This window comes from Homo sapiens, chromosome 13, assembly GCF_000001405.40.
Source record: "Homo sapiens chromosome 13, GRCh38.p14 Primary Assembly".
In the NCBI taxonomy this organism is placed as follows: Eukaryota; Metazoa; Chordata; class Mammalia; order Primates; family Hominidae; genus Homo; species Homo sapiens.
In genome coordinates this window covers 23,694,291-23,720,821 of record NC_000013.11, presented here as the reverse complement: position 1 = coordinate 23,720,821, position 26,531 = coordinate 23,694,291, and the positions used below count along the sequence as shown (strand labels likewise).

Genomic DNA, 26,531 nt, shown 5'->3' with positions numbered 1-26,531 from the left:
GAGATGGAGACCACAGTGAAACCCCGTCTCTACTAAAAATACAAAAAAAGATTAGCCGGATGTGGTGGGGGGCTTCTGTAGTCCCAGCTACTTGGGAGGCTGAGGCAGGAGAATGGTGTGAACCTGGGAGGCGGAGCTTGCAGTGAGCTGAGATCACACCACTGCACTCCAGCAAGGGCGACAGAGTGAGACTCCGTCTCAAAAATAAATAAATAAATAAATATAAATTACCCAGTCCTGGGCATTTTTTTGTAACATTTGTTTGTAACAGACTAATACAGCACCTGATGCAGCTGTTACAAACTGTTGAGCTGAAGACACCACAAGAGAGCATGGATCATGGCAGAGAGAGGAAAGGGTTCTGAGTGGTAGAATGGTGACAGCGCTCAGCACTGCAAGGCATCAGGGAGGACACTGGGCTCCCAGGGAATTTTAGAACTGAGGGAATGGTGAATGGAGCGAGAAGCCAAGAGAAAAAGTAAGGAACAAATGATGAGGAAATAGAAGCAAGGAACACAGATTATTCACAAAGCCTGGCCAGGGTGATGGGAAGAGCAATGGGATGGCACATCATGCTCATCTGACCTCATGGTCAGCTGCCCCCCAAGGAGCACAGGAGGCCAGACCAGGCCATGTGTGATGCTGCAGGGCACCAACCCCAGAGGTCTGTAGAAAGAGTATGTATTACACACTCTTGTGTAACATGTGCATACATCCACCAGAGCGGTACACGTTACAACCCATGAACCTACACTGACCCAGGGTCCACAGGTTACACTGGTTCACATTCACTCTTTCTGCGGTACAGTCTATAGGTCTGTAACGCAGTGATGTATTACACACCCTGCACCATCACGGAGCATCACAGTCCCATGTTCAGGGCTGTGCACCACACATTCTTAGGACAGACACTGTGATGCTTAATTGTATGTAGCAACTTCACTGGGCCACAGTGCCCAGATATGTGGACAAACATTATTTATTCTTGGTGTTTCTGTGAGGGTGTTTATAGATGAAAATAACATTAGAATTAGTGGACTTTGAGTAAAACAATGCCCTCCAAATATAGGTGGGCCCTGTCCAATCATGTGAAGGCTTGAATAGAACAAGACCAACCTTCCCAAGCAAGAGGGGATTCTTGAGAATACTGCCTCTTGCCTTTATCTGCACCATCAGCTTCTCCTGGGTGTCCACATGCCTGCCTTCAGACCTGTACCACAGCATTGTCTTTCCCTGGGTTTTCAGCCTGCCAACCAACCCTGCAGATTTTGGACTTGCCAGCCTCCATAATTGCGTGATCCAATTTCTTTTAAATTTTTTTAAGAGATAGAGTGTTGCTATGTTTCCCAGGCTGGAATGCAGTGGCTATTCATAGGTGTGACCATAGCTCACTGCAGCCTCAAACTCCTGGGCTCAAAAATCCACCTCAGCTTCCTGAGTAGCTGTAACTACTACAGGCACACACCATTGTACCCAGCATACGAAATGAAACCTATAATTATACTTTATCCATGTTTATCTCCCCACTAAACTGTGGGCAAATTGAAGTCAGGACTTGTATCCTTTCATCTTTATTTAACTAGTGACTAATATAGTGTCTGTTGTATGATATCCAGCTGGCTGCATCTTCACCAAAGCTTCGTTGATAATTAAGAAGTTCTTGCTAAGTGATCTTTTGAAGTAAGTTTTTTTCCTGCCTCTGGTAGATATGTTTACTTCCTTCCCTCACTCACTGGGGTGACAGGCTTCAAAAGGTAATGTCTGAATGGAAGTACAATTGTTTCTGCATGCTTTTCCAACTGATAGAACATTTCCATTTTGTTAGGAAATTGTAAATTTCTGAATGTACTTAGCACATATGAATCCTCATAATTCTTATTTCCCTTTCTTTTCTTATTAATGTCCACATTACCACTTTTAATTTAGTCTTTATATCTTCAGAGATAGATGAAATACTGTCATATTGAGAAAATTGGAAGGTAAATTGCTTTTCTCTGGCTATACAAGGTAGCTCTGTCAATCTGTCTTCTTCAGGGTTTTTAGAAACATGAACATTTTATTTGTTTACTCTCTTAACTGCAGTGATAGAATGCAAATTTCAACTAGCTTGAGTAAAACAGTGAATTTCTTAGAAGGATACTGTGAGGATGTCTCATAGCACACAAGGACTGCCAACAGCAGTTAGGATGCTTTGCGTGCAAATAAAATAAAGCTTGAAATCAAACAGGTTAAAGCAAGATGAAAATAACCACAATACATTGCTATGCCCCTGTTTTTTTTCAGCTGTTTATTACATGCTGTTTTGTAACCTGCTATTTTGCTTTAAAATCCCATGATTTTCCTCCAATCATAAGTATTTTTCTACATCAGTTTTTATGGCTAGATGGTATTCTGCTCAGTGTTCTTGAAGGTCTTTGGGAGAGTTCAGTAAGTAGCACCCATCTTCCCCACCCAAATCGAGAAATAGCAGGTGGAGAACCAAAATATCACCCTTATTTCTAATGAAGGCAGAATCGGAAGGCATAGCTTGCAGCAAGAGACGAAGTGGGCTTGTGGAATCTGTTCTTTGTTAGACTGTTGAGAAGTGGGATAAACCCACCTAAAGGAAAGCTTAGCCCTGTGGGGCCAGACAGCTCACCAGTCCCCACCTAACACTGGCCTTGGCCAGAGGAATGAAGACAGGGAGCAACTTGTCCAAGCAGAGGACCTTTGACCATCTCCACCCAATGTGTGTGACCTACCAACTGAGGTAAAGCTGGCCCCTGCTCTGGGAAGAAGGAAGGGAAGGGAAAAGAAGCCAGGAGGATTTTGGAAAATCCCACAAAGCAGAGGCAAGAGAAGAGGTTCTTGCTCCCCTGTGCAGTGTGAAGGTCCCAGTACTCAGTTCACCAGGCCTCTATTGCACGTTATGTTAGTTTCCAAACAACATTGAAGCTAAACATCTTTGTAATTAATCTTTGTGTACATTTGTGAAAATTTCCTTAAGATAAATCCCTACAAGTAGAATTTCTGAGCCAAATGATATTAACAGGTTTAAAACTTTTGACTCACTTGGCCATATTTCCCTCTACAAAGTTTTATCAGTTTATATTGCCACAAGTAGTACAGTGTATGAGAACATGTTTTCTTAACACATACCCACTCTGCCTATTCAGTCCTTCCTTTTTGATCTTTGTGAATTTGATGGGCAAAACATCTGTGCCACAGTGTTATTTCAATTTTGAGCAGTCTTAATGGAGGAGTTGTTTTGGGGAACCAAGGTATAGAACATGTGAAAGAAACTATCTGAAGAGACTGAGCAATGTCTTCAAAGGCCTGTAGCCCTGCAGCTGCCCCTAGTACTTTCACTTTTGTGAATAATTTTATTTTCCAACCATGGAAGCATCATCGTGAGGTTGAAAGAGGATCATTCTTGGAAAATACAATTACTTAACAGTTATGTGACCTGGGACAAGTTGAGCCTAAATGTCCTCATCATAAAATGGAACTAAGTAACCCTCATAAGAATGACGTAGTGTATGGACACTGTTTGGCCCAGAGTGGGCAGTGAAAAAATTGTGGCCATTCTGGAATAATCTTATAGTCTCTATGGTGGGGAGATCTGAAAGCCGTTTTCTTTCCCCTTCCCATTTTGTGTATGTATCTGCCTCCACTGATCTGCACAGGGAAGGGAAGTGGTTGGTAACTCTCTGGGCACTCAGGATCTCTACACTTGGTAGTTGCCCAGCAGCCCATCACTGTGTCTTTCACCCCTAGGGCTCACAGTGACATTTTCTGGCCCCATCAGGGTGTGCTGCACACCTGTGTGGAGTCTTTGCCAGGTGAGCTCTCCCCATCCCATCCCTGCCTTCATCAATAAAAGGCTGAGTCAGGGAAAGGGAGTACCCAGCTCTCCTCCCCACCTGTTTGTTTGACTTTGGTTCCCACCTACAACTCGCCCTTGTCTTTAAACACCATAGAAAAGGTCTTGAATTCCCCCTCCAGTGGCCCACGGGTGTCCTGTACTGGCAGCACACACAACACTTCCAGACAGGAGAAGATCTGGCAGTTGTGAATTTTTCTTTTTCATCTTTTCTTTTCCCAGACTTGCTGCTGCTGCCACCACTAGCACTGATGCCAATACAACCACCTCTGCTGTCACCCTCAATGCACTGGCCCACCCTATAAGGCCCCTATCATCTGGCTGCCACAGGCATCCTCTTACCACTACAGTCAAGCTGCAGTCTCTGTCACCACCACCAACTGCAGCAAGGTGAGCCGCAGAGCCATGCCATCTGCAGGCTCCAGCCTCCAGTGTACCACATGTGGCTCCTCCTTCTCCTCTAGCCAGGCATGGAGCAGCTGGGCAGGCAAAGCCAGAAAAACCTAGAACAGGATGGAGGAGGTGGTAGAGTTAGAGCCTCACCTTGTCATGCCCGCCACTGGCCAGTTTCAGTGAAGGCACTCGCACCCTCCCTCCAAAGTCCAGCCTCTCCTTTTGGTCTAAGCGGCCAGGAACTGGGGCCTGGGGTGGGGACTGGAGACATGGCAGTGCCCGGCTCCCCACTCCACAGGAACCCCGGGGGACAGGGGATACCTTCCTCGGAGGGTGGGAGCAGCAGAAACTGAGACCCAGCCAACCCTCTCCACCCAAGTGCCCGTTCCCAATGCCTCAGCCTACAGGGCCCTCTCTCCCCATGGTATCTGCTACTCCGTGCCCAGGGGTCCCAGGTGGTCTCCACAACACAGAGTGAGAGGGCTCAGGCCAGGGAACCACGGTGGTGTGGGGGCCCTGCTGTGTTCAGGATTCCTGAGGAAATGCTGTGCGCCTGCGGAGCTCCACCAGGAGCAGGACGTTGTCGCCCTCTAGAGTCTGGAGTCCAGGAAGAGGAGAACAGCCCCTTCTTTGGAGGCCACCACTATTCGCTGCCACCTCTGCTGCCCACAGCCACCAGCAGTGCAGCCCCTGATAGGGCCCCCGACCCATCCCTGCCACAGGCATTCCAGCACATCGTAGGGCTTCAAACCGTGCCCTCCCTGGCACAGGCAGTGCAGTCCCAGATAGCACCCCCAACTTGCTACCCTCCATGGCCCCGTATAGTGCCCCCAGCCAGCCCTGAGCTGCCTGATAACGAATGCCCCACACCCCTGTCAGTGCCCCCAAACTGCCCCCCCCCACCCCCGCCAGTATTCTAGCCTCGGATAGCTCACCCAACCCAACCCATCACCCTGCCGCCAGCAGTCCACAATAGCGGACATAACCCGCCTCCTGGCTCGGGCAGTGTAGCCTCTGGCAGTGTAACCACCCCCCGCCACCGCCATACCGCAGCTGGCCCCACCGCCTGCAATGCAAACCCGGATAGCACCCCAAACCAGCCCCCCTTACCATGCACAGTGCAGCCATGGGCAGTGCAGCCCTAACAGCACACCCAACCGCAGTCTGCGGTTGCCCCAGAGAGCATACCTACCCTGCAGCAACTTTTCTACCACTCTGGCCGATCTGCAGTTTCCATCACCACCACCTACCACAGTGAGGCGAGCAGCACTGGTGCAGGCTTCAGCCTCCAGAGTGTGGCAGATGGCTCCCTCTTCGTGTTCTCTAAGCCCGGCACAGAGAATGTAGTCCCACAGGCACAGAAGAGCCTGGAATGGCTTGAGGCCTCCTCAGCATACCTTATATACTGAGGTTATGGGAATGTGGTTCCTGGTCTCCAAATTTGGATTGGATGAGAGTAAACCTCTAGACCTACTCTGATTGGACTTTATTTTCATGATCTAATTGGTTGTCCTCAGGCTTGCTCTCATCCAATCAGAACATGTAGTCCAGAAACCTCATTTGCATAACATCTGTATATAAATGATGCTGAAATCAGCCCATTTAAGGCTCTTCTGTGTCTTCCTGACCAGCTGCTCTGTTCCCAGCTTAGAGGACCAGAGGGAGAAGCCACCTGCTACACGCTGGATGCTGCAGCCTGTGCCACTGTGGCTCACATCGCTGTGGTTGGTGGCAGCAACGGAGACTGCAGCCAGCTGGAGTGGTAGGAGGAAGGAAATAGTTTTGGGGTAGATGGAGGAGTAAAGAGGGTGGTGAGTGCCAAAGGGAAAAGTGGATGGCGGGGCGAGCAGAAGAAGGAGTTGCAAAAAGATGGTGGGGAAAAGATGGTGGAAAAAAGTGGGTAGATGGAGGCGGAAAAACAGGGAGACAAACAGGAGGGGGAGAAGGTTTGCAAAGATGGTGGGGAAAAACACTGTGGGAAGAAAAGAAAGGCAGTGGGGAAAAACATTGTGGGTAGATGGAGGGCAAGAAAGAGGGTGGCAAGTGGGAGGAGAAGAGAGGGTGCTGAGAGGGAGGGGGAAGAGAGGGTGGTGAGCAGGAGGGAGAGAAGGTTTTGCAAAAAGATGATATGGAGAAAAGACAGTGGGGAGAAAAGTTTTTGGGTAGATAGAGGGGGAAAAGAGGATGGCAAGCAGGAGAAGAAAAAAGAGGTTGGCAAGCTGGAGGGAGACAAGGTTTTGCAAAAAGATGGTGGGCAGGAAAAGAAAGACCGTGGAGAAAGAAAAGATGGTGAGGAAAAAGTTTTTGGGCAGATGGACAGGGAAAAGAGGGTGACAAGCAGGTTAGGGGAAAGAAGATGGCGAGTGGGAAGTCAGGGTTGGGGGGAGGCTTTGTAAAAAGATGGGAAAAATTGGGTGGGTAGATGGAGAGGAAAAGAGGATGGTGAGCAGGAGTTGGGAGAAGGCTTTGCAAAAAGACAGTGGGGAAATGTTTTTGAATAGATGGAGAAGGGAAAGAGGGTGGCAAGGAGAGGGGGAAAGACGTGGGGAAAACAGTGTTTGGGAAGATGGAGGGGGAAAAGAGGGTGGTGAGAAGCAGGAGTCGGGAGAAGGCTTTGGGAAAAGATGGGGGAAATGTTTTTGGGTAGATGGAGGAGCAAAAGAGGGTGATGAGAGCAGGAGAGAGAAAAACAAGGTTGCCCAGAAGAGTGGGAAATGATGGTGGGGAAAAACGTGGGGAAAAGTTTTTGGGTAGATGGATGGGGAAAAAGTATGGTGAATGGGGGAGTAGAGAAGGCTTTGCAAAAAGACGGTGGGGAAAAAGTTTTGGGGTACATGAAGAAAAAGGCTGATGACAAGGAGAGAACTGAAGGCTGTCAGAAAAAGAAAGTGGGGAAATAATGGTGGGGGACAAAGGTTTTGGGTAGATCTTTTTCTGATTTTTAAATCGGGTTATATGTATTTTTGCTTTTGAGTAGTTTGTGTTCTTTATCTATTGTGTGTATTAACCCCTTGCCTGATGCATAGCTTGCAAATACTTTCTTCCATTCTCTAGATTGTTTCTTCATTCTACTGATTGCTTCCTCTGCTTTGCAGAAGCTTCTAAGTTTAATGCAATTCCATTTGTCTATTTTTGCTTTTGTTGCTTGTGCTTTTGATGTCTATTTAAAAATTCCTTGTCCTAATCAATTTCATGAAGCATTTATCTTATTTTTTATTTTCTAGTAGTCTCATAGTTTCAGGGCCTACACTGAAATTATCTTTATTTTGAGTTGATTTTTGTATATGGTAAGATAACAGTCTAGATTGATTCTTGTACATGTGGGTGTTGGGTTTTCCTAGCACAGTTTATTGAAGAGATTGTCCTTCCCAAATGTGTGTTCCTGGTGCCTTTGTTAAAAATGAGTTGACTGTAAATGTGTGAATTTATTTTTGAGTTCTCTATTCTGTTGTCTGTCTGTCATTTGTCTATGTCTGTCTGTTGCTCCCTCACTCTTTTTTTTTTTTTTTTTTTTTTTTTTTTTTTTTGCAGTACCATGCTGTTTTGGTTACTATACATTTGTAGTATATTTTGAAATCAGGTAGTGTGATGCCTCCAGCTTTTTTCTTTTTATTCAAGATTCTTTTATCTCTCTGAGGTATGTTGCATTTCTGTGTGAATTTTAGGTTTTTTTTCTATTTCTGTGAAGAATGTCTTTTGTAATTTAACATGGGTTGCATTGATCCTGTAGATCACACTGGGTGATATAGGTATTTTAACAATATTCTTCTAGTGCATGAACATGGGATATCTTTCCATTTACTTGTGTCTGCTTTAATATCTTTCATCTATGTTTTATGGTTTTCATTGTGGGATCTTTCACCTTTTTGGTTGTTTGTCCCTAGGTATCATTTTTTTGTAATGAAATAGCTTTCTTGATTTCTTTCATAGGTATTTCACTGTTGGTGCATGGGTGTGCTACTCATTTTTGTATGTTGATATTGTATCTTGCAACTTTACTAAATTTATCTAGTAGGTTTTTTGGTGGAATTTTTAGGGTTCTTTATATATGATCATATCAGCTGCAAACAGAGACAATTTGACTTCCTTTTCTTCCAATTTGGATGCCTTTTATTGCATTTTCCTGTCTAATTGCTGTAGCTAGGACTTCCAGTACTATGATGAATAAAAGTGGCAAAAGTAACCACACTTATTCCGGATCTTAGAGGAAGAGCTTTTAACCTTTCTGCATTGATCATGATGTTAGCTGTGGGTTTATCATATATGGCCTTTATTATGCTGAGATATGTTCCTTCTTGCACATTTTGTTGAGTTTTTATCATAAAGGTATGTTGAATTTTATTGTTTTCATCATCTACTGAAATGATTGTATGTGTTTTTTTTTAAATGGAGTCTCACTTTGTTGCCCAGGCTGGAGTGCAGTGGTGCTATCTTAGCTCATTGCAGCCTCCACCCCCAACCCCACCCCCTCAGGTTCAAGCGATTCTCCTTCCTCAGCCTCCCAAGTAGCTGGGATTACACCGCCATCATGGTGGCCTGGCTTCTTTTTGTGTTTTGGGGATGCAGGGTTTCACCATGTTGGCCAGGCTGGTTTCAAACTCCTGATGTCCAGTGATCCATCCACCTCAGCCTCCCAAAGTGCTGGGATTACAGGTGTGAGCCACCATGCCTGGCCTTCTTTTTTTTTTTTTTTTTTTTTTTTTTTTAAGACAAGGTCTTCCTCTGTAACCTAAACTGGAATAAAGTGGTGAAATCATACCTCACTGAAGCCTCGAATTCCTTGGCTCAACTTTTCCTCCCATCTCAGCCTTCTGAGTAGATAGAACTACATTTGTGAGTCATCAAACCTGGCTAATATTTTATTTTTTTGTTAGAGACAGGTCTTGCTATATTGTCCAGGCTGGTCTCGAACTCCTGGGCCCAAGCAATCCTTCTAGCTCAGCCTCCAAGGTGCCTGGGATTTCAGGCCTAAGCCACCACACCTGACTAGATTTGTTTCACTTTGACGTCTTTGCTAAGTCTATGGCTATAAATAAAATGACTATTCAATTATGACTAATGAGAGGCATGGGGAAAGCCAAGCCAGAGGGGGACTATCAAATTTTGTTTTTTCTATATATATTCAAATTATGATGGTATACATACATTGGAGTATATTTATGCTTTCCTGTAACAGTCTTGTAGGACCCTAAATGACCTGAATTTATCTTCGTAGATTGATTGGGAAAGGAGGAATTATTGAGAGACAGGAAATTGTGAAACAAGAAATTATTCTAATTCTAGCACTAAGATACCCAGAATGGCTTCTCATTACTAAGAATGGTAGAAAAACTCACCCATATTCCCTTCAGTCGAAATGATGCAGTTTTATTGGCATAATCACTACTAAACATCAATAGGTTTTGTAACTTTGGATTTGGCACTATTTTTCCATTCAGTGAGCATTTATTGACTGCTGTGCACCAGGAAAAGTCAGAGCTCTGCCTTTGCTGTGGATGAATGAAAATAACCTCTTTCATGTCTGCACTGTCTGTTAATGTGTATGAATATATGTGTCTGTGTGTGTGTTTCTGTCTTTTTACATGAAAGGGACTGGCAGCTTTAGACCTATTGCTGTTGTGAATCTTCATGAACCTATATTTTGCCTCTCTGCAGTGGACCCATCATTACTAATTTCATCCTTTTGCAACAACTGTTTGCATTTAGATAATTGTCAGCACTTAGCTACCAAGGTTACAGAAAATGTCAAGATTCAGAAGAAGATATACAAATTTTTTTTGTAAGGCCATGAATTAAAGCAGTAACACTTGTCTAGACCATTAAACAAGGAGATACATTTGTATGTAGAAAGTGACTGCCCTTGTGTCATTAGAGTCTCATGAACCTGTGACTATTACATTCATAAAAAAGTGCACTGTCTTAATTCAGTTGGTAGTTCTCATCATGTTTCAGGGATTTTAGTTGTGATGATTGAAATAGTTGCCTTTGGGTAGTTTGTATTCCTGTTTCATCAGAGATTGGCTGAGACTTGTCTTTTCTGTTTACATTTCTCTTGGACTTGTTTCATCTGCTCTTGTTTGCCATGGAAACCTGTCTGTAAATCATATATATACATATATATACACAAATACATGCATATACATATATACACACATGTATATACGTATACACACATATGTATATAGATATATACACATACACACATATGTATATAGATATATACACACATATACACATATATGTATATACATATATACACATATGTATATATACACATGCATGTGTATATATACACACTGCATGTATATACACACATGCATGTATATACACATACGTGTGTGTATATACACATACACGTGTATGTGTATATACACAAGTGTATGTATATACATATATACACACGTGTATGTGTATACACACATGTATGTATATACGCTCACACATGTATATACATATGTACATATGTACGTGCATATACACACATGTATGTATATGCATATATACACACATGTATGTATATACATATATACACACGTATGTATATACATATATACATATATATGTCTGTGTGTGTGTGTGTGTGTGTATATATATATGGCCATATAAAGTGTGAAAAAGCATGTTTGAGAGAGAATACCAAGGGTGTGGTCAAGTGACCATTTGCTAAAGAGATTACCCTGGATAGAAGGGAACCAGATGCTATTCAAGATAATGGGAGAAAGATCCTGAATACATTCCAGAGATCTTTGAGTCTTCCCCACCCATCACAGCCCCAGAGATCTAGGAGGGCAGAATGATTTCAGAGGATGGGCCTGGGGTGCCCTCCAGAGGCTTGCTGCCTAGAGCTGCCTTGGTCCCTGTTTCCCACATTCTGCCAAAGTGCCTGTGGATTGCCCCAGCTATGGCTCAGCTATTAATAGACTCAGATGTGGTTCAATCTGCCACTCAGGAAGGTGCAAGTAGTAAGCTTTGGTAACATTCGTGTGGTGTTAATTCTGCAGCCACACAGAATGCAAGAGCTATGGGGGCATGCCTACCTCCACCTGGATTTCAAATAATTTTTCAAATATTCTCTGGTGCCCAAGCAGAAACCTGCCACAGGGGTGGAGCTGTCACAGAAAGTCCTCACTAGAGTAATGCCTAGGGAAGCTGTGGGAGTGGGACCACCACCAAGACCCCAGAAGTGTAGAGCCACCAGTGTACAATTTCAGCCTAGGAAGGCTACAGGCGTTAGAATCCAACTCATGATAACTGCTCAGTGGACTGAACCCAGCAAAGCCACAGGGCCAGCTACCCAAGGCCTTGGGTGTCGAACTCCTGCCCCAGTGTGCCCAGGATTCAAGACATGGAGTCAACAAAGATTCAAGAAAATATATTTACTCAGTGCCTGGTTCATTGGTACCCAGTAATTCATGTCCAGGTTCAGTGGGAGGGATATGAAGCATGAAGAAAACTCTATAAAATAAATGTTCAAAGAAGTATTATAACTACACACAGGTGAGGTGCAGTGGCTCTTGCCTGTAATCCCAGCACTTTGGGGGGCTGTGGCGGGTGGATCACCTGAGGTTGGGAGTTTGAGACCAGCCTGACCAACATGGAGAAACCCCATCTTTACTAAAAATACAAAATTAGCCGGGCGTGGTGGTGCATGCCTGTAATCCTAGCTACTCAGGAGGCTGAGGCAGGAGAATCATTTGAACCTGGGAGGTGGAGGTTGCAGTGAGCTGAGATTGCGCCATTGCACTCCAGCCTGGGCAACAAGAGCAAAACTCTGTCTCAAAAATAATAATAATAGCTACACACAGATGAAGGTCATCTGTGTTGAAGTACAATGGCAATCTTACTGATGAGTCTTATTGTCTCACCTGGATATTTGCATTAAAAGACTGCTAACATTTGTAGCTGAAGCTTTAGTGCAGTTTGGTATGATTATTATGAAGTTAATGTTTCTGAAAATTTCCTTGAACTCAGAGCAACATATTCCTATATTCATTTCATAAACTTATTAAGCACTTACTGTGCATTTGCTACATTTTAGGAGCTAGGGATACAGCAGTGAACAAAACTGTCAAAACTCTCTAGCCTCATGGCATTTACATTCCAGCATACTGCGAATGACAAAAAACAAAGATGCTACATAAACTAGATGAAAAGGTAACTGCTTCTTTTTTCTTTTCTTTTTTTTTTTTTTTCTTTTTTGAAATAGGATCTTGCTTTGTTGCCCAGGCCGGAGTGAAGCTCATTGTAACCTCGAACTCCTGGGCTCAAATGATCCTCCCGCCTTATCCCCATGAGTAGCTGGGACCACAGATGCAGATGTATGTCACTACACCTGGCTGATTTTTTACTTTTTATTTTTTTGTAGAAACAGGATCTCACTATGTCTCCCAGGCTGATCTTGAACTCCTGGCCTCTCGTGATCCTCCCACCTCAACCTCCCAAAGTGCTAGGATGATAGATGTGAGCCCCTGTGCCTGGCCTGGTAACAACTTCTATGGGAAGAATTGGCGGGAGACTATAGAAGCTGGAGAAGTACACAACTTAAAATAGGGTGGTCAGCGGTGAGCTCACTGGGAAGGTGACTTGAAAGAGGCCAAGGAAAGAGCCATTTTGGTGTCTGGGGAAAGAGCAGAGGAAGCTTCATGTCCAAAGGCCCTGAGGTGGGAAAAGGAGCCCGAACTGTAGAGGGCAGTAGATAATGTCTTCAAGCACCAGACTCTGCTGAATACTGACAATATATTTTAAAGAGCACAAAACAAAGGATTTTTTTTTTACTCTTTATTTATTTTATTCATTCATTTATTATTTATGTACTTTTTTTTTTTTTTACTATTTTTTACTATTGCCTGACATTCTGCTTCCTTTATAACACAAACACCTGTTCAGTACCATAAAGTTAATTTGATCACTGTGCTCCCCTTCTGTATTTTATTAGAAAATATTTAAATAGAATTTACTAGATTCTGTGTGTTTTCCAAACACACTTTATAAATATAAACTCTCTTAATTCTCATAACCACCCTATTAGGGTAGGTACTGTCGTTATTTCCATTTTGCAAGGGGGTAAACTGAAGCACAGAGAAGTTAGGTTACTTGTCTAAGATCATACAGCTAATAAACACCAGAGCCTATAATCCCAGCACTTTGGGAGGCCAAGGCGGGAAGATCACCTGAGTCAGGAGTTCAAGGCCAGCCTGGCCAACATGGCAAAATCCCATCTCTGCTAAAAAATACAAAAATCAGCCGGGCATGGTGGCAGGTGCCTGTAATCCCCGCTACTCGGAAGGCTGAGGCAGGAGAATTGCTTGAACCTGGGAGGCGGAGGTTGCAGTGAGCCAAGATCGCACCACCGCACTCCATCCTGGCAACAGAGTGAGACCCTGCCTCAAACACACACACACACACACCAGAGCTGTGCTTTGTGCCCAGTCCACCTGGCTTTGGAGTCCATGCTCAGCCTCTGATAAAGGCACATCCTCTCCCAGAGGTGTGCTGGAGCCGGCTTGGACCAGCCCACAAGAGCCAATTGTGTGCATCTCTTGCCTCTTCTGCATCAGTAACATCACTTTGGTACTTAAAATTAGCCACAGTGGGAGTGTTTACACCACGGAAGTCGGCAAATGCTGTAAGTCCGGGCCTTGCATCCCCAAAACCTGGTTGTTGCACATTTACCAGCACGCCGTGATTCCCTGCCATCTTTTGCACCCCAATTCGGGTTGAAGCCCCTTGAAGCATCCCCCTGACTTCATCCTACCCGACACCCCCACTCCAGCTTCACCTGCCCTTCTGGCATTGTTACGTTACAACAGGGCTAACATCTGCCAGGGCTGTTTGACCACTGAAGTGAATGTTCTATTAGGAATTTCCAGTGCAGCATAGTGGCAAGAACAGGCAGTGATTAGGTGGACCTAGGTTCGAATTCTGACTCAGTGAGATACGTGGCTAATAGCAATTTACTTCCTGTCTCTGTCCACTGGTCTCCCTCATCCGTAAAATGAGACATAACAATTTGCACCTACTTGAAGCCTGGTTGTGGGGACCTGGAGCAAGGCCAGAGTCAAATCCAAACTCATGACCAGGCCTCCGTGGCCCCACAGAACACCTGCTTTTCAGCACCACCTCTCACCATCTTGTGCTTGGCCCCTGAGGCTCCACCACATCCCATCCTGGGAATTGGACCTGCTTTTCCTCCACCCAAATCTCACCACGGATGTGTGTGACTGCTTCCTCCATGTGCGGTCCACTCAAGCCCAGCAGCTCCACTCCAGGCCTCACTGCCACTGCCCACCCACCCCACGTGGCCTCCTGTGCCCCTCTGCTGTTTCCTCCATAGCACTCACAGGGGACTGGAAATTATCTAACCTATTTTTTCTGTTTTAGAAGCCCCTTGATGGCAAAGTCCCGTTTTACCCCTCCCTGTGTCCCTAGCACATGGAGTATCACACACTAGCTGAGTGGGGTATTGGGAAGAATCTTCCAGTCCTCTGGGATCTCAGGGAGTGGAGGTTGGTGGGGGCCCTGGCCATGTCACCACTGGCCTGTATCTGGGCCAGTGTGGAACTGAGCTGCGCCATCCATCCAGGGAGTCCCGGGGCCCTGCACTTTATCCAGGAAGATGGGGGAGAGGGTTCAGCAGAAGCTGCATTGTCAAATATTTATCAAAGCCTTTTGATTTGCAAACTTGCAGTTCCAGTGAGCACAGAGCAAACCACTCTCTTTCAAATGGCCTTTGGCAAGACCTCCAGCCTGTCACTGGATGCTGAGTGGGAATGTGTGGGCAGAGGGAGCACTGCTGTTGAAATCAGTATAGAATTTCCTGACTCCTGAGCCTTTTTTTTTTTACTCTTTACATTTTGTTTGCTGCAGCCAGAAGAGGAATCCTCCCCCATTGTCATCCTACCTTTAAGGCATCCAGCATTTTGCCTGGAAATCACCAACCTGATTATCGACCATGCAGAGACCTCCTGCCCTTGTGGGGTCACTCCCCAAACCTCAGCATTTTCAGAGGCTTTAAGAACTCACAAGCATCCTCTGATAAAGTGGCTTATAATTTGTACAAAGCCTGCATGGAAAGTGGTAGAGGAGAGGTCCGAGGGAAGTCACATTAATCCTGTGAGTGGCCATGTAGGCATTGATAGGACAGAATCACTTCTTGTGTGTTAACCACGAAGAGCGCTTAGCAGGCTTTGCGCAGAAGCTGTCCTGGGCTGTGGTGAGAGCTCTCTGTCATGGCCCCATCATCAGCACTTAGGTGACAGGGAAGGGGCACTGTCCAGGGCTGCAGGGGCCAGCCGTGATGGGGACCTAGGTGTGCTCATCTTTAGTGGTTCTGACGGTGTGAGAGGCTATTCCAGCCATGGACACAGGGCTATGGGATCTGGCTTTGATGCTGCTGTCTCTGGGCAGGAACTCCAGGCAGGAGGCCTCTACCCAAATACTATGGCCAGGGAAACCAAACAGTATGTTATTTTTCGCGGGCGTGCAAAGCATTGTGGAAACCAGCCTGAAACGCGTGGCTGAGGCCCGTGGCTTGATGGGTCCTCCTAGCTCCTGTGGTCTTCCCTGGCTGGATGCACGGGGGAGATGAGTGTCCTCACGTTTTTGACAGTGGAGTGAAGAGAGCTGGCCAGGCCCACCCAGGGGTCACCACATGGAGCAGGACGGAAAGTAAAAAACAGGAAGATAAAAAACAGGAAGAAGAAGGAAGGTGAAAAACAGAGACCTTCGAACACCCAGGAGCCCTGCTCACCGATACCTGTGGGCTGACGGTGACTGGACTCAGCTGCTACCTCGCTCCTTCATAGAAGAGCCGCAGGAGGGAGGAGCGGGTCCCCTCCACCAGGGCCGGCAGCCAGAGGCCTGCACCTTCAACCCCCTAGCCACAAAAAGTAGCATTTGCTGGGAAGTGGAGGAGGGAGAAGGAGAGGGAGGGACTGATTAAAGTATACAAAATTACAGCTAGATAGGAGGAATAATTTCTAGTGTTCTACAGCACTGTAGGGTGGGATTTTGAATGTTTCCAACCCAAACACATGATCACTATTTGAGGTGATGGGTAAGCTAATTACCCTGACTTGATCACTATGCACAGTATGCATCAAAACTCACTCAATATACCCCATAGACGTGTACAATTATTATGTATCAGTTTTTAAACATGTTTTTCAAATGTTTTTTAAAATCCTTGGGGTGGGAGGGGTGGGGGCAAGGGGAGGGAGAGCATTAGGACAAATACGTAATGCATGCAGGCCTTAAAACCTAGGTAACAAACTTGCATGTCTGCACGTGTATCCCAGAACTTCAAGTAAAAAAAAAACAATTCCTTGGGGGAAAGGATGCATATATTTTCAAGAAGCGTGGGTGAATGTATTATAAATTAATTTAAAAGTCAGTGGCTTCTGAGTTAGGACTTAGTAAGTATAGAGTTTCAGTTTTCCAAGGGGTCAAGAGTTGTGGAGCTGGAAGGTGGTGCTCGCTGCTTGGCATCATGAGAGTGGGTAATAACGCTGAGCTGCGCACCTCAGAATGGTTGGGATCGTAAGTTTCATGTGTATGTTGCCACAATTTAAAAAATTGAAAAAAAAAAATCAGTGGCTCTTTCCCTACCTAAGAGATTTGTGAAGACTTGTCCCGAGGTAGGATTCTGGACTTTCTAACCCCAGGCGTCCTCTGGGCATCCGCTTCTCCCTAAGCCCTAAGGTTCCCTTCCCCGTGACCTCTAGGGCGAGAGCCTGAAAGAGTGGTTGGACAGCTGGTCCAATTCATTCAGGTAAAGGACTTCATTCGCTTTAAGTGTCAACTCTTTTGGCTTTCACCTTTTTGGGTAGCCTGTTTTCGTAGAGCTCACTTTTTGTTCTCAAGCTCCCCGAGCACAATGCATTTTGTGAGCCAAATCATTAAAATAGGACATTTGTTTTTTGTTTTTTCTTTTGGCCACAAGTAAATACACGTTTAAGCAATAGCTTCCTACAGCTCTTGAATTATGCAATATAAAAATGCCAGTGTGTTTTAATTTTAGTTTTCTAGGTCATGTAATTAGAAAATGATTTGAATGAAAACAATGAAAAAAATGTAATATATCTTTTAATCTGTGAAACAAGAATGAGAAAGTTATTTCTCATCTCACTCTCCAAAAGTCCCAGGGCCTTGTGCCTCTCTGTGCCCTGGGCTGGCCTCACCGTGGGTCAGTCCTGCTCCCGCGCCTGCTGCTGAGCTTCCTGATGCCTGGCCCTGCCCATTCAGACCGGATTTGTCCAGATTCTCCCAGCATTGTAGAAAAAACAATCGCTCATATTTAATGAGTTCTTTTGTGTGTGTCAGACAGGGTTCTAAGGGTTCTACGTACACTAACACACATAAGCCTCATGAGCGACTGGGGCTACAGAGGGTCACCACCATGCCCAGCTACTTTTTAATTTTTACTTTTGTAGAGATGGTGTCTGGCTCTATTGCCCAGGCTAGTCTAGAATTCCTGGCCTCAAGCAATCCTCCACTGTAATTACAGCTGAGAGCCACTGGGTCCAGCCTATTTGTAATCCATATTTCATAGATGTGATGCTTAGGCACAGAGAAGTTAAGCAGCTTGCTGGGGGCCACACAGCCAGTGTGACTCCAGCCTCCCCACTTTTCATTCGGATGTTATACTTCACACCTTCGGAGAGCTGCCCTCTCTGCCTTGGGGGACCTCACCCCTTCCTCTGCTGGGTAGAGTCCACTCCTTCTGCAAGAACCTTCACATTGCTTGCTCTATTCGAGTCTCCCCTGCAGGCTTGGGCCGGCGGCTTCCCTGTACCTCCAAGTTCTCGCACTCACCTCTTGGCGCTGGAACCTCGACGTTCACCTCCATCCCCTTGTTCCTGTGGCCCCGCTGAGGCTCCTGCTTTCCATTGTTCGCATTTTAAGCATCTAGCACAGGCTAGGCATGCAGGAGCTCAAGAAGTATTTGCTGAAAGCATGAAAGAGTGGCTTGCACAGTACAAGCCCTGGCAGCAGGGGCGGGGCAGGGAGAGGGACCTGTTTTTCATGGGTGCTCAGGGCAGTGGCTCTTGTGCCTGAGCTGCCTGGGCCCCCATAAGCCGGGCCTCCCTGAGCTCCCCACCCTCTGCGCTGTCTGTGGTCCCTTCTGCCCACCACTGCTTTAGGCACTTCTCTTGGCTATTTCGAAAACATGGGCAGAAAGCGGATCACAGGAAATTATAGAAAGACCAGGCCTGAGCAGGGTGCGGGGCTGAGGGTGGACTCCAAGTGAGGAACAGTCTGTATCATGAAGCCCTCACAAAAGTCGGGGTCCGGGTGTGCGAGTGGGCACAGGCTGTGCAGTCCTTGAGCGGCTCAGCCTCTCCTCTCAGAGGTGGCGTCCTGACAGTGACAGTCTGGAAAGCCCTGCACAGAACCCCAGTCCCTCTCTCACTGAACACACCTGGAGCTCTTAGGGGCTTATGAGCGCCCTGCTGTGCAGATCCTGTTCCAGATCGCAATGCTGCATGCCTGCCAGGGCACCTGCTGTGCTGTGAGGGCCATCTTGATGGCCCTGAGGCTCCCAGGTGTCCCCACAGCCATGGCCCAGCACCCTCAGTTACGGCCTCTATGTCCAGCTGCTGGCCGCTGTGTCTGGCTGCTGGCCTGGGCAGTGGCCACGGCTCTTAGTCACCGCTTGCACAAGTTCTTCTGGTTCTGCTCAGTCCAGCCCTCCTGCGCCTGGCCCTTTGCGGTTGCTTTCTTTCCAGGCCCCTCCAGTGCATCTAAACCTCTCTGCTGTCCGAAGGCCCTGGCTGTGGTCTCTGGGGGCTTGTGGGGAGATCGCTTGCTTCCTCAGTCCATGACTTGATACCTCAACTATGCAATTCAGAATTATTTGTGTTTCGTGTGGTTGTTTCGGCTGTATCACGTTGCAAGCTCACATATAATTTGTTGGCCGTTTTCATTCCCCTGAGGTCTCTTTCAGCGTTTGTATTTTCCAAATACTTTATCTCCTTACCGTTAATAACTATGTTTGGGATTCTTGTCCTCCTTGGTGTAATAGCTTGCATTTTTTCCACATTGGACCTCCCTTTATTTACTGCCATTAATTACCGCCTTTTGCTATTTACATCATCTTCTCCTCCTGAGTGGGAGTCTGATTTAGTTTCAGCTAATGGACAGCCACCCACCCCAGGCTCTTCCAAGGGGAGGCAGTGTCAGAGGGAATTAACCCTACTATGGGGCTGACAGCAATCCATCGGTCTTCTCCTGGCTGAGACAGGACTGTTCCTCCAGGTCCTGCCCACCACGATCCATCACTGAAGCTGATGGAAGGACTTGGAGATAGGATCTGTGATGAAAACGTGAAATAACTGGGGCTGCTTCACTTGGAATGCCCTGTGTTCTTCTTGCGGGTGAGAAGTTATTACATCACAGAGGAAGACTAATTCTATTTCCCATCTCTTTTACAGGGTGTAAATCGGTTAATACCAGAGTAAGGGGTGGCATTTAGATTTGAGAAAAAGCTTCCCAATAATAATCTTGAGGCATGAGACAGGGACAAAGGAAGGTTTCCTGCATTGGGAAAGGGGAGTTCTCTTCCTCCAAGATCTTCAACAATAAAACAGGAATTCTTCTATCCAGAAGGGCCTAAATCTTCACCCCTTACAAAATGGGATCCTTAATGCCTTTAGACTCTCTCAATATTTTCTGGCTTTGATTCCAGCCCTTTGGACATTGTTCTCAATATTATGCTTTCCTTCTACTCTATGCTAGCCATTTATCTCAGTATCTTTAGAGTCATTTTGATATAAGAACAAATGAGTCTCAATAGGTTTACAACAGGCATTTTAAAATAAGGAACCTTATTTGATCTTCATACATCTCATGTCAGACATTGAAGATGGTTTGCTTGTGTCTGCCATCTTGGGATCTCATGTACCACATGAAACTGAGAGCTTCAGTTGCTTCAGCCTGGGAGTCAGTAACTCCAGGCAAGGATCTCAGCCGTGGGACAATGGGAACTAAATCCCTACACTGCTGGTTCTTCCTAAGTACTGCACCCCAATGTCCAATAACCATGACAGTGCCGAAAAAGTGGAGGACGCAGATTATGTATGCCTGAAACAGATTACGTGCTCAATACATACATTGGTGGCTTATGGTGATAACACAATGATGGAAATGATCCTAAGGCAGCTATTTTTCCTTTCTGTGTCTCCATATAGACATATTTATATTTATATTCAGGACTTAATTATATATACATGCATACTCAGAGATATTGCGGATTCCATTCCAGACCACTGTAATAAAGTTAATATTGAAATAAAGTGATTCACACAAGTTTTTTGGTTTCCCAGTGCCAAGAAAAGTTATGTTTACATTATACTGTAGTCTAACAAGTGTGCAATGGCATTATGTCTTTAAAAAAGTATGTACCTTAGTTAATAGTTTATCGCTTAAAATGCTAATAATCATCTAAGCCTTTAGCAAGTCATAATCTTTTTGCTGGTGGAGGGTCTTGCCTTGATGTTGATGAGGGTGGTGGTGGTGGTTGCTGAAGGCGGGGGTGGCTGTGGCAATTTGTTAAAATATGACAATAATGGCCAGGCACAGTGGTTCATGCCTGTAATCCCAGCACCTTTGGGAGGCCGAGGCAGGCAGATCACTTTGAGGTCAGGAGTTCGAGACCAGCCTGGCCAATATGGTGAAACCCCGTCTGTACTAAAAATACAAAAATTAGCCAGGTGTGGTGGCACGTGCCTGTAATCCTAGCTATTCGGGAGCCTGAGGCAGGAGAATCGCTTGAACCCAGGAGGCAGAGGTTGCAGTGAGCTGAGATCGCGCCATTGCGCTCCAGCCTAGGCAATAGAGTGAGACTCCATCTCAAAAAAAAAAAGACAACCAGAACTTCTTCCAAAATTGGAGTCAGTGCTCTCAAACTCTGCTGCTGCTTCATGAACTAAGTTTATGAAGTATCCTAAATCCTTTCTGTTCTTTCAACAATGTTCACAACATCTTCATTGGACTAGACTCCATCTTAAGAAACCACTTTCTTTGTTCATTCATAAGAAGTGACTCCTCATTCATTCAAGTTTGATCATGAGACTGCAGCAATTGCTTCACGTCTACAGGCTCCACTTCTCATTCTAATTCTCTAATTCACCACATCTGCAGTTATTTCCTCCACTGAAGTGTTGAACTCCTTAAAGTCATCCATGAGGGCTGGAACCAGCTTCTTCCAAACTCCTGTTAATGTTGATATTTTGACCTCCTCCCATGAATCACAAATGCTCTTAAGGGCACGTAGAATGGTGAATCCTTTCCAGAAGGTTTTCAATTTACTTTGCTCAGATCCGTCAGAGGAATCACTGCCTATGGAAGCTATGGCCTTACAAAATGTATTTCTTAAGTAATAAGACTTGAAAGTCAAAATTATTCCTTGATTCATGAGCTGCAGAATGGGTGCCGTGTTAGCAGGCAGGAAACAACATTCATCTCCTTGTACACCTCCATCAGAGCTCTTGGGTGATCAGGTGCATTGTCAGTGAGCAGTAGTAATTTGAAAGGAATCTTTCATTCTGAGCAATAGGTCTTAGCAGTGGGCTTAACATATTCAGTAAACCATGATGCAAAAATATATGCTGTCATTCAGGCTTTGTTTTTCCATCTCTAGAACACAGGCAGAGCAGATTTGGTATAATTCCTAAGGGCCCTAGGATTTTCAGAACGGTAATTGAGTATTGGTTTCAACTTAAAGTCACCAGCTTCATAAGCCTCTAACAAGAGAGTCAGCCTGTCCTTTGAATCTTTGAAGCCAGGCATTGACTTCTCTCTAGCTAAGAAAGTCCTAGCTGGGGCCGGGCACGGTGGCTCACGCCTGTAATCGCAGCACTTTGGGAGGCCGAGGCGGGCAGATCACGAGTCAGGAGATCAAGACCATCCTGGCCAACATGGTGAAACCCCGTCTCTACTAAAAATACAAAAAAATTAGCAAGGCATGGCGGTGCACACCTGTAGTCCCAGCTATTTGGGAGGCTGAGGCAGGAGAATTGCTTGAACCCGGGAGGCAGAGGGTGCAGTGAGCCAAGATCGTGCCACTGCACTCCAGCCTAGTGACAGAGCGAGACTGCATCTCAAAAAAAAAAAAAAAAAAAAGTCCTAGCTGGCATCTTCTTCCAATAGAAGGCTGTTTTTATCTACATTGAAAATCTGTTGTTTCATGAAACCACCTGCATCAATGCTCTTAGCTAGATCTTCTGGAAAACTTGCTGCAGCTTCGACATCAGTACTTTTTCCCTGCCTCACCTTGTACTTTTGTGTTAACAGAGCCAGGCTCTTTCCTTAAATCCCATGAACCAACATCTGTGAGCTTCACATTTTCTTCTTCAGCTTTCTCATGTCTCTGAGCCTTGACAGAATTGAAAAGAATTAGAGCTTTGCTCTGGGTTAGGCTTTGGCTTAAGGGACTGCTGTGGCTGGTTTGATCTTCTATCCGGACCACTCAAACTTTCTCCATATCAGCAATCAGCTTGTTTCACTTTCTTATCATTTGTGTGTTTACTGGAGTAGCACTTTTAATTTCCTTCAGGAACTTTCCCTTGCATTCACAACTTGGCTAATTGTTTCTCAAGAGGTCAAGCTTTTGGCCTATTTCAGCTTTTGACATGCCTTCCTCACTAAGTTTAATCATTTCTAGTTTTTTTATTTAAAGTGAGAGACATGTAACTCTTCCTTTCACTCAAACACTTAGAAGGCCAATACAGGGTTATTAAATGGCATAATTTCAATATTGTTGTGTCTCAGGGAATAGGGAGGCCTGAGGAGAGGGAGAGAGACAGGTAATAGCTGGTCCATGGAGCAATCAGGATAAATCACCATTTATTGCTTATAAATCACCATTTATTGCTTAATATATCACCATTTATTGCTTAAGTTCACCATCTTATATGGGGTTAGTTCATGGTGCTCCAAAATAGTTACAATAGTAACATCAAAGATTACTGATCACCTTAACAGGTATAATATCAAGGCTAGGAGTTTGAGGCTACTGTGAGCCATGATTACACCATTGCACTCCAGCCTGGACAAACTTGAAAGATCCCATCTCTACAAAAAGATAGGAAAATTGGCTGGGTATGGTGGCACACACCTGTAGTCTCAGCTCCTGGGACGCTGATGTAGGAGGATTGCTTGAGCCCAGGAGTTCAAGGCTGCAGTAAGCTATAATCACACCACTGGACTCCAGCCTGGGCCACAGATTGAGACTCTGTCTCTAAAAAACAAACAAACCAACAAATAAACAGATATAATGTTAATAATGAAAAAGTTTAAAACATAGTAAAAATTACTAAAATGTGACACAGAGACATGAAGTGAGCCTATACTGTTGGAAAAACAGCGCTGATGGACTTGCTTGATGCAGGGTCGCCACAAACCTTCAATTTATAAAACATGCAATATCTGCAAAGCGCAATAAAAGCGAGGTGTGGCCGTCAGGTCCGTCCCAACCCAGGTTTGCTCTATGCAGCCAGAACACCTCACCCTACCCCCACCCCCACGGACGCTCATACAGTTGGGTGGATTTTCCACCCCAATGCTATGAAAACAGAAAATCCACCCCATTCTCTTCTGGCCTTTTTATTTTTGAGGAAGAATGCTCTGCAGCATTGTAGCTCTGAGAAAGAGGGAGGATTCCAGTGTTCCCATGACTCAACGTGGAGGGTTCCCATTTCCATGCCTTTCTTCTTTCACTGCTGCTCCCAGCTCCCACCTCCTGAGCTGGGCATCAGGAATCTTTTGTGTGTAAAGCACAGGAAGGACCCAGCCCAACCACAAGTGACCGGCTGGCTTTCCTGTGATTCCCTGGGCCTCAAGGCCAGTGCATTACCAATGCCGTGGGGTCTTCAGTCCAGGGGGCCTCTCCAGCCTTCCCGATGCCTCTGCCGGGTGCTTCTGCTGTATTTAGAAAAGCATTTGGTTCCTCTGATTAGGTAATGTCTGGTAAGTTCCCAAGGAAGGTTTCATTCACATTTTCAAGTTAAGGTGAACTGAGATGCTTTAAACTCAGTGAAGCCAGAGGACTTGGGGCCCAATTCCGTCCTTGGGCAGGGGTGTGAGGGAGCTCCCGTGGGCAGGCTGTCCAGCATCAGTTTAGACCCCGTCCCAGTAAGCACGATGAGCGCTGTGAAATGAGAAGGGCAGGCTGGGCTGAGGGAGGGAAGAGCAAGAGGTAGGAAGGAAAGAATGTCTCAGCCCGCACCGCCCCTGGGCGGAGGCGCATGGTGCACCCCAGCCACTCTGTCGGCCAGCCCCTCCTTCTCTGGTAGTCCCCCGATCTCCCACTCAAATGAAGATCTGCTCTCCCTCCGAGCAGGCAGGCCTGATGCTTCCAGCCCGCTGGCGGGGAGGCCTGGCGTCTCGCCCTAGAGGGGCCCATGACGCGATGGGTGGGGCCCCATTTGAAATGAAAATGTGGGGTTCCTGTTCAAAAGAGTATTAAGAGTTCCGAGGGTGACGGCAGGCCGAGCAAGAGCCCAGAGGTGCTCTGAGCACAGGCCCTATGCCACTTCCTGCCGCACAGCCTGAGCCGCCCCAACCCCCGGGGGAGGCAGGTTTGTCAGCACTCGGCCTGGACTGAATCCGGATTAAATTGCGCTCTGCAGCACAGAGGCCCCGGTCAGGCGCCCGTGGGGGCACAGGCCTGCACCTGCTGCTGATATGCACTTCGAGAGCGGGCGGGCGCGGCCTTGCCAGAGGGCTCTGGGTTTGAATGAGGAAGCAGCGCGGCGGGGCGGCCTCTGCAGGAGAAGGTGCTGGCGGCAGGGAGGGGCGCGGACGCGGCCCAGCAGCTGGCAGGGACTTCACGGGAATATCGGCCGACAGCCCTCGAAGAAGCCACAGCAGGGAGGAAATTTTCCCTCTGCCCACTTCAGGCCAAGATGGCTGGTGTCGGATGAATGCCCCGGGGTCACCTGCTGAAAAGAAAAAAACCCAATGCCCAGTCTAATCGCGCGCGCAGGGGCTCCGGGCCCTCCCGAACCCTGGCAGCCCCGCAGGGCCCTTTGTGCCCGCGGCGTGTGGAGCGCGGAGTCTCCGGGAAAAGCCCCCCCTTAGGCAATCCGGGCCATTTCCGAGGCGAAGGCTGTGGCCGGCGAGGTGCTGGCTGTCTCTGAGCCGGCGCTCCAAGGCCGACACCCCTACCTGGAGAGGGCCCTGGGCGCCCGCCGGCTGGGGACCCGGCGGGCAAGGCTCACAGGAATTCCCGCCCAGGCCTTTCTGGAGGGGGCTCAGGAGCCAAGCCTGGAGTGTCCCCAGCTGACTTTCCCTGGATGCCTCCCCAGGTGGTCCTGCCACGACAACAATCAAATGAAAACTCAAACAAAAACACCAAACCCCTTTTATTTCCTGCAAGCATTAGCGCATGTCTTTCCAAAAGGCTTGGCCTGCGATCCTGTAGGCATGGAGGCCCAGGGGTGCGTTCTCAGCCGGCGGGGCCCCTCCTAGGGGCCTGCCCTTTCCTTACCCTCCAGCCAGTGTCTCCCGACCCCGGCTCAGCAACTTCCCAAGTGGGCCGCCAAATTGCACAATGTCATATGTCCATTCCTTCATCATCTTCCCTGTTAGGCACATCCTATGTCCTCTTAATATACATTAAGGCCGGGCGCGGTGGCTCACGCCTGTAATCCCAGCACTTTGGGAGGCCGAGGCAGGCGGATCACGAGGTCAGGAGATTGAGACCATCCTGGCTAACACGGTGAAACCCCGTCTCTATTAAAAATACAAAAAATTAGCCGGGCATGGTGGCGGGCGCCTGTAGTCCCAGCTACTCGGGAGGCTGAGGCAGGAGAATGGCGTGAACCCGGGAGGCGGAGCTTGCAGTGAGCCGAGATCGCGCCACTGCACTCCAGCCTGGGCGACAGAGCAAGACTCCGTCTCAAAAAAACAAAACAAAACAAAACAAAATGTGTATATATATATATATATATACACACACATTAAAGATATGGGAAACAGATACCTATAAAATCACACCTGAGATGAAATAGATAGTAACATTTTTCCATAGTTGTTTTAGAGGTTTTTTTAAATAAAAACATTACAATTTCAGCCACTCCCCACCTCAACCCTCAACCCTTTACCCTACCTTTTCTTGGCAACTAAATCTATCCACCATCTCAGTAGCTTCTTTTTTCTTTTTCTCATCAATAATGATACCAATCCTTTTTTGGTTATGTCCTTTGTAAATATCTTCTCCCTGTTTGTGGCTTAACTTATTAATTGATACATGGTGACTCTTTTGATAGACAAGTAT

The 26,531-nt window shown here is 46.4% G+C and overlaps 1 annotated feature.

The window, feature by feature from the left end:
* Positions 24,505 to 25,078: an enhancer, noted in NCBI's record as "H3K27ac-H3K4me1 hESC enhancer chr13:24269883-24270456 (GRCh37/hg19 assembly coordinates)". NCBI's record gives its function as "activates a minimal SCP1, AML or CMV promoter by ChIP-STARR-seq in primed H9 embryonic stem cells {active_cell/tissue: H9 hESC(primed)}" and the evidence as "EXISTENCE:reporter gene assay evidence [ECO:0000049][PMID:30033119]".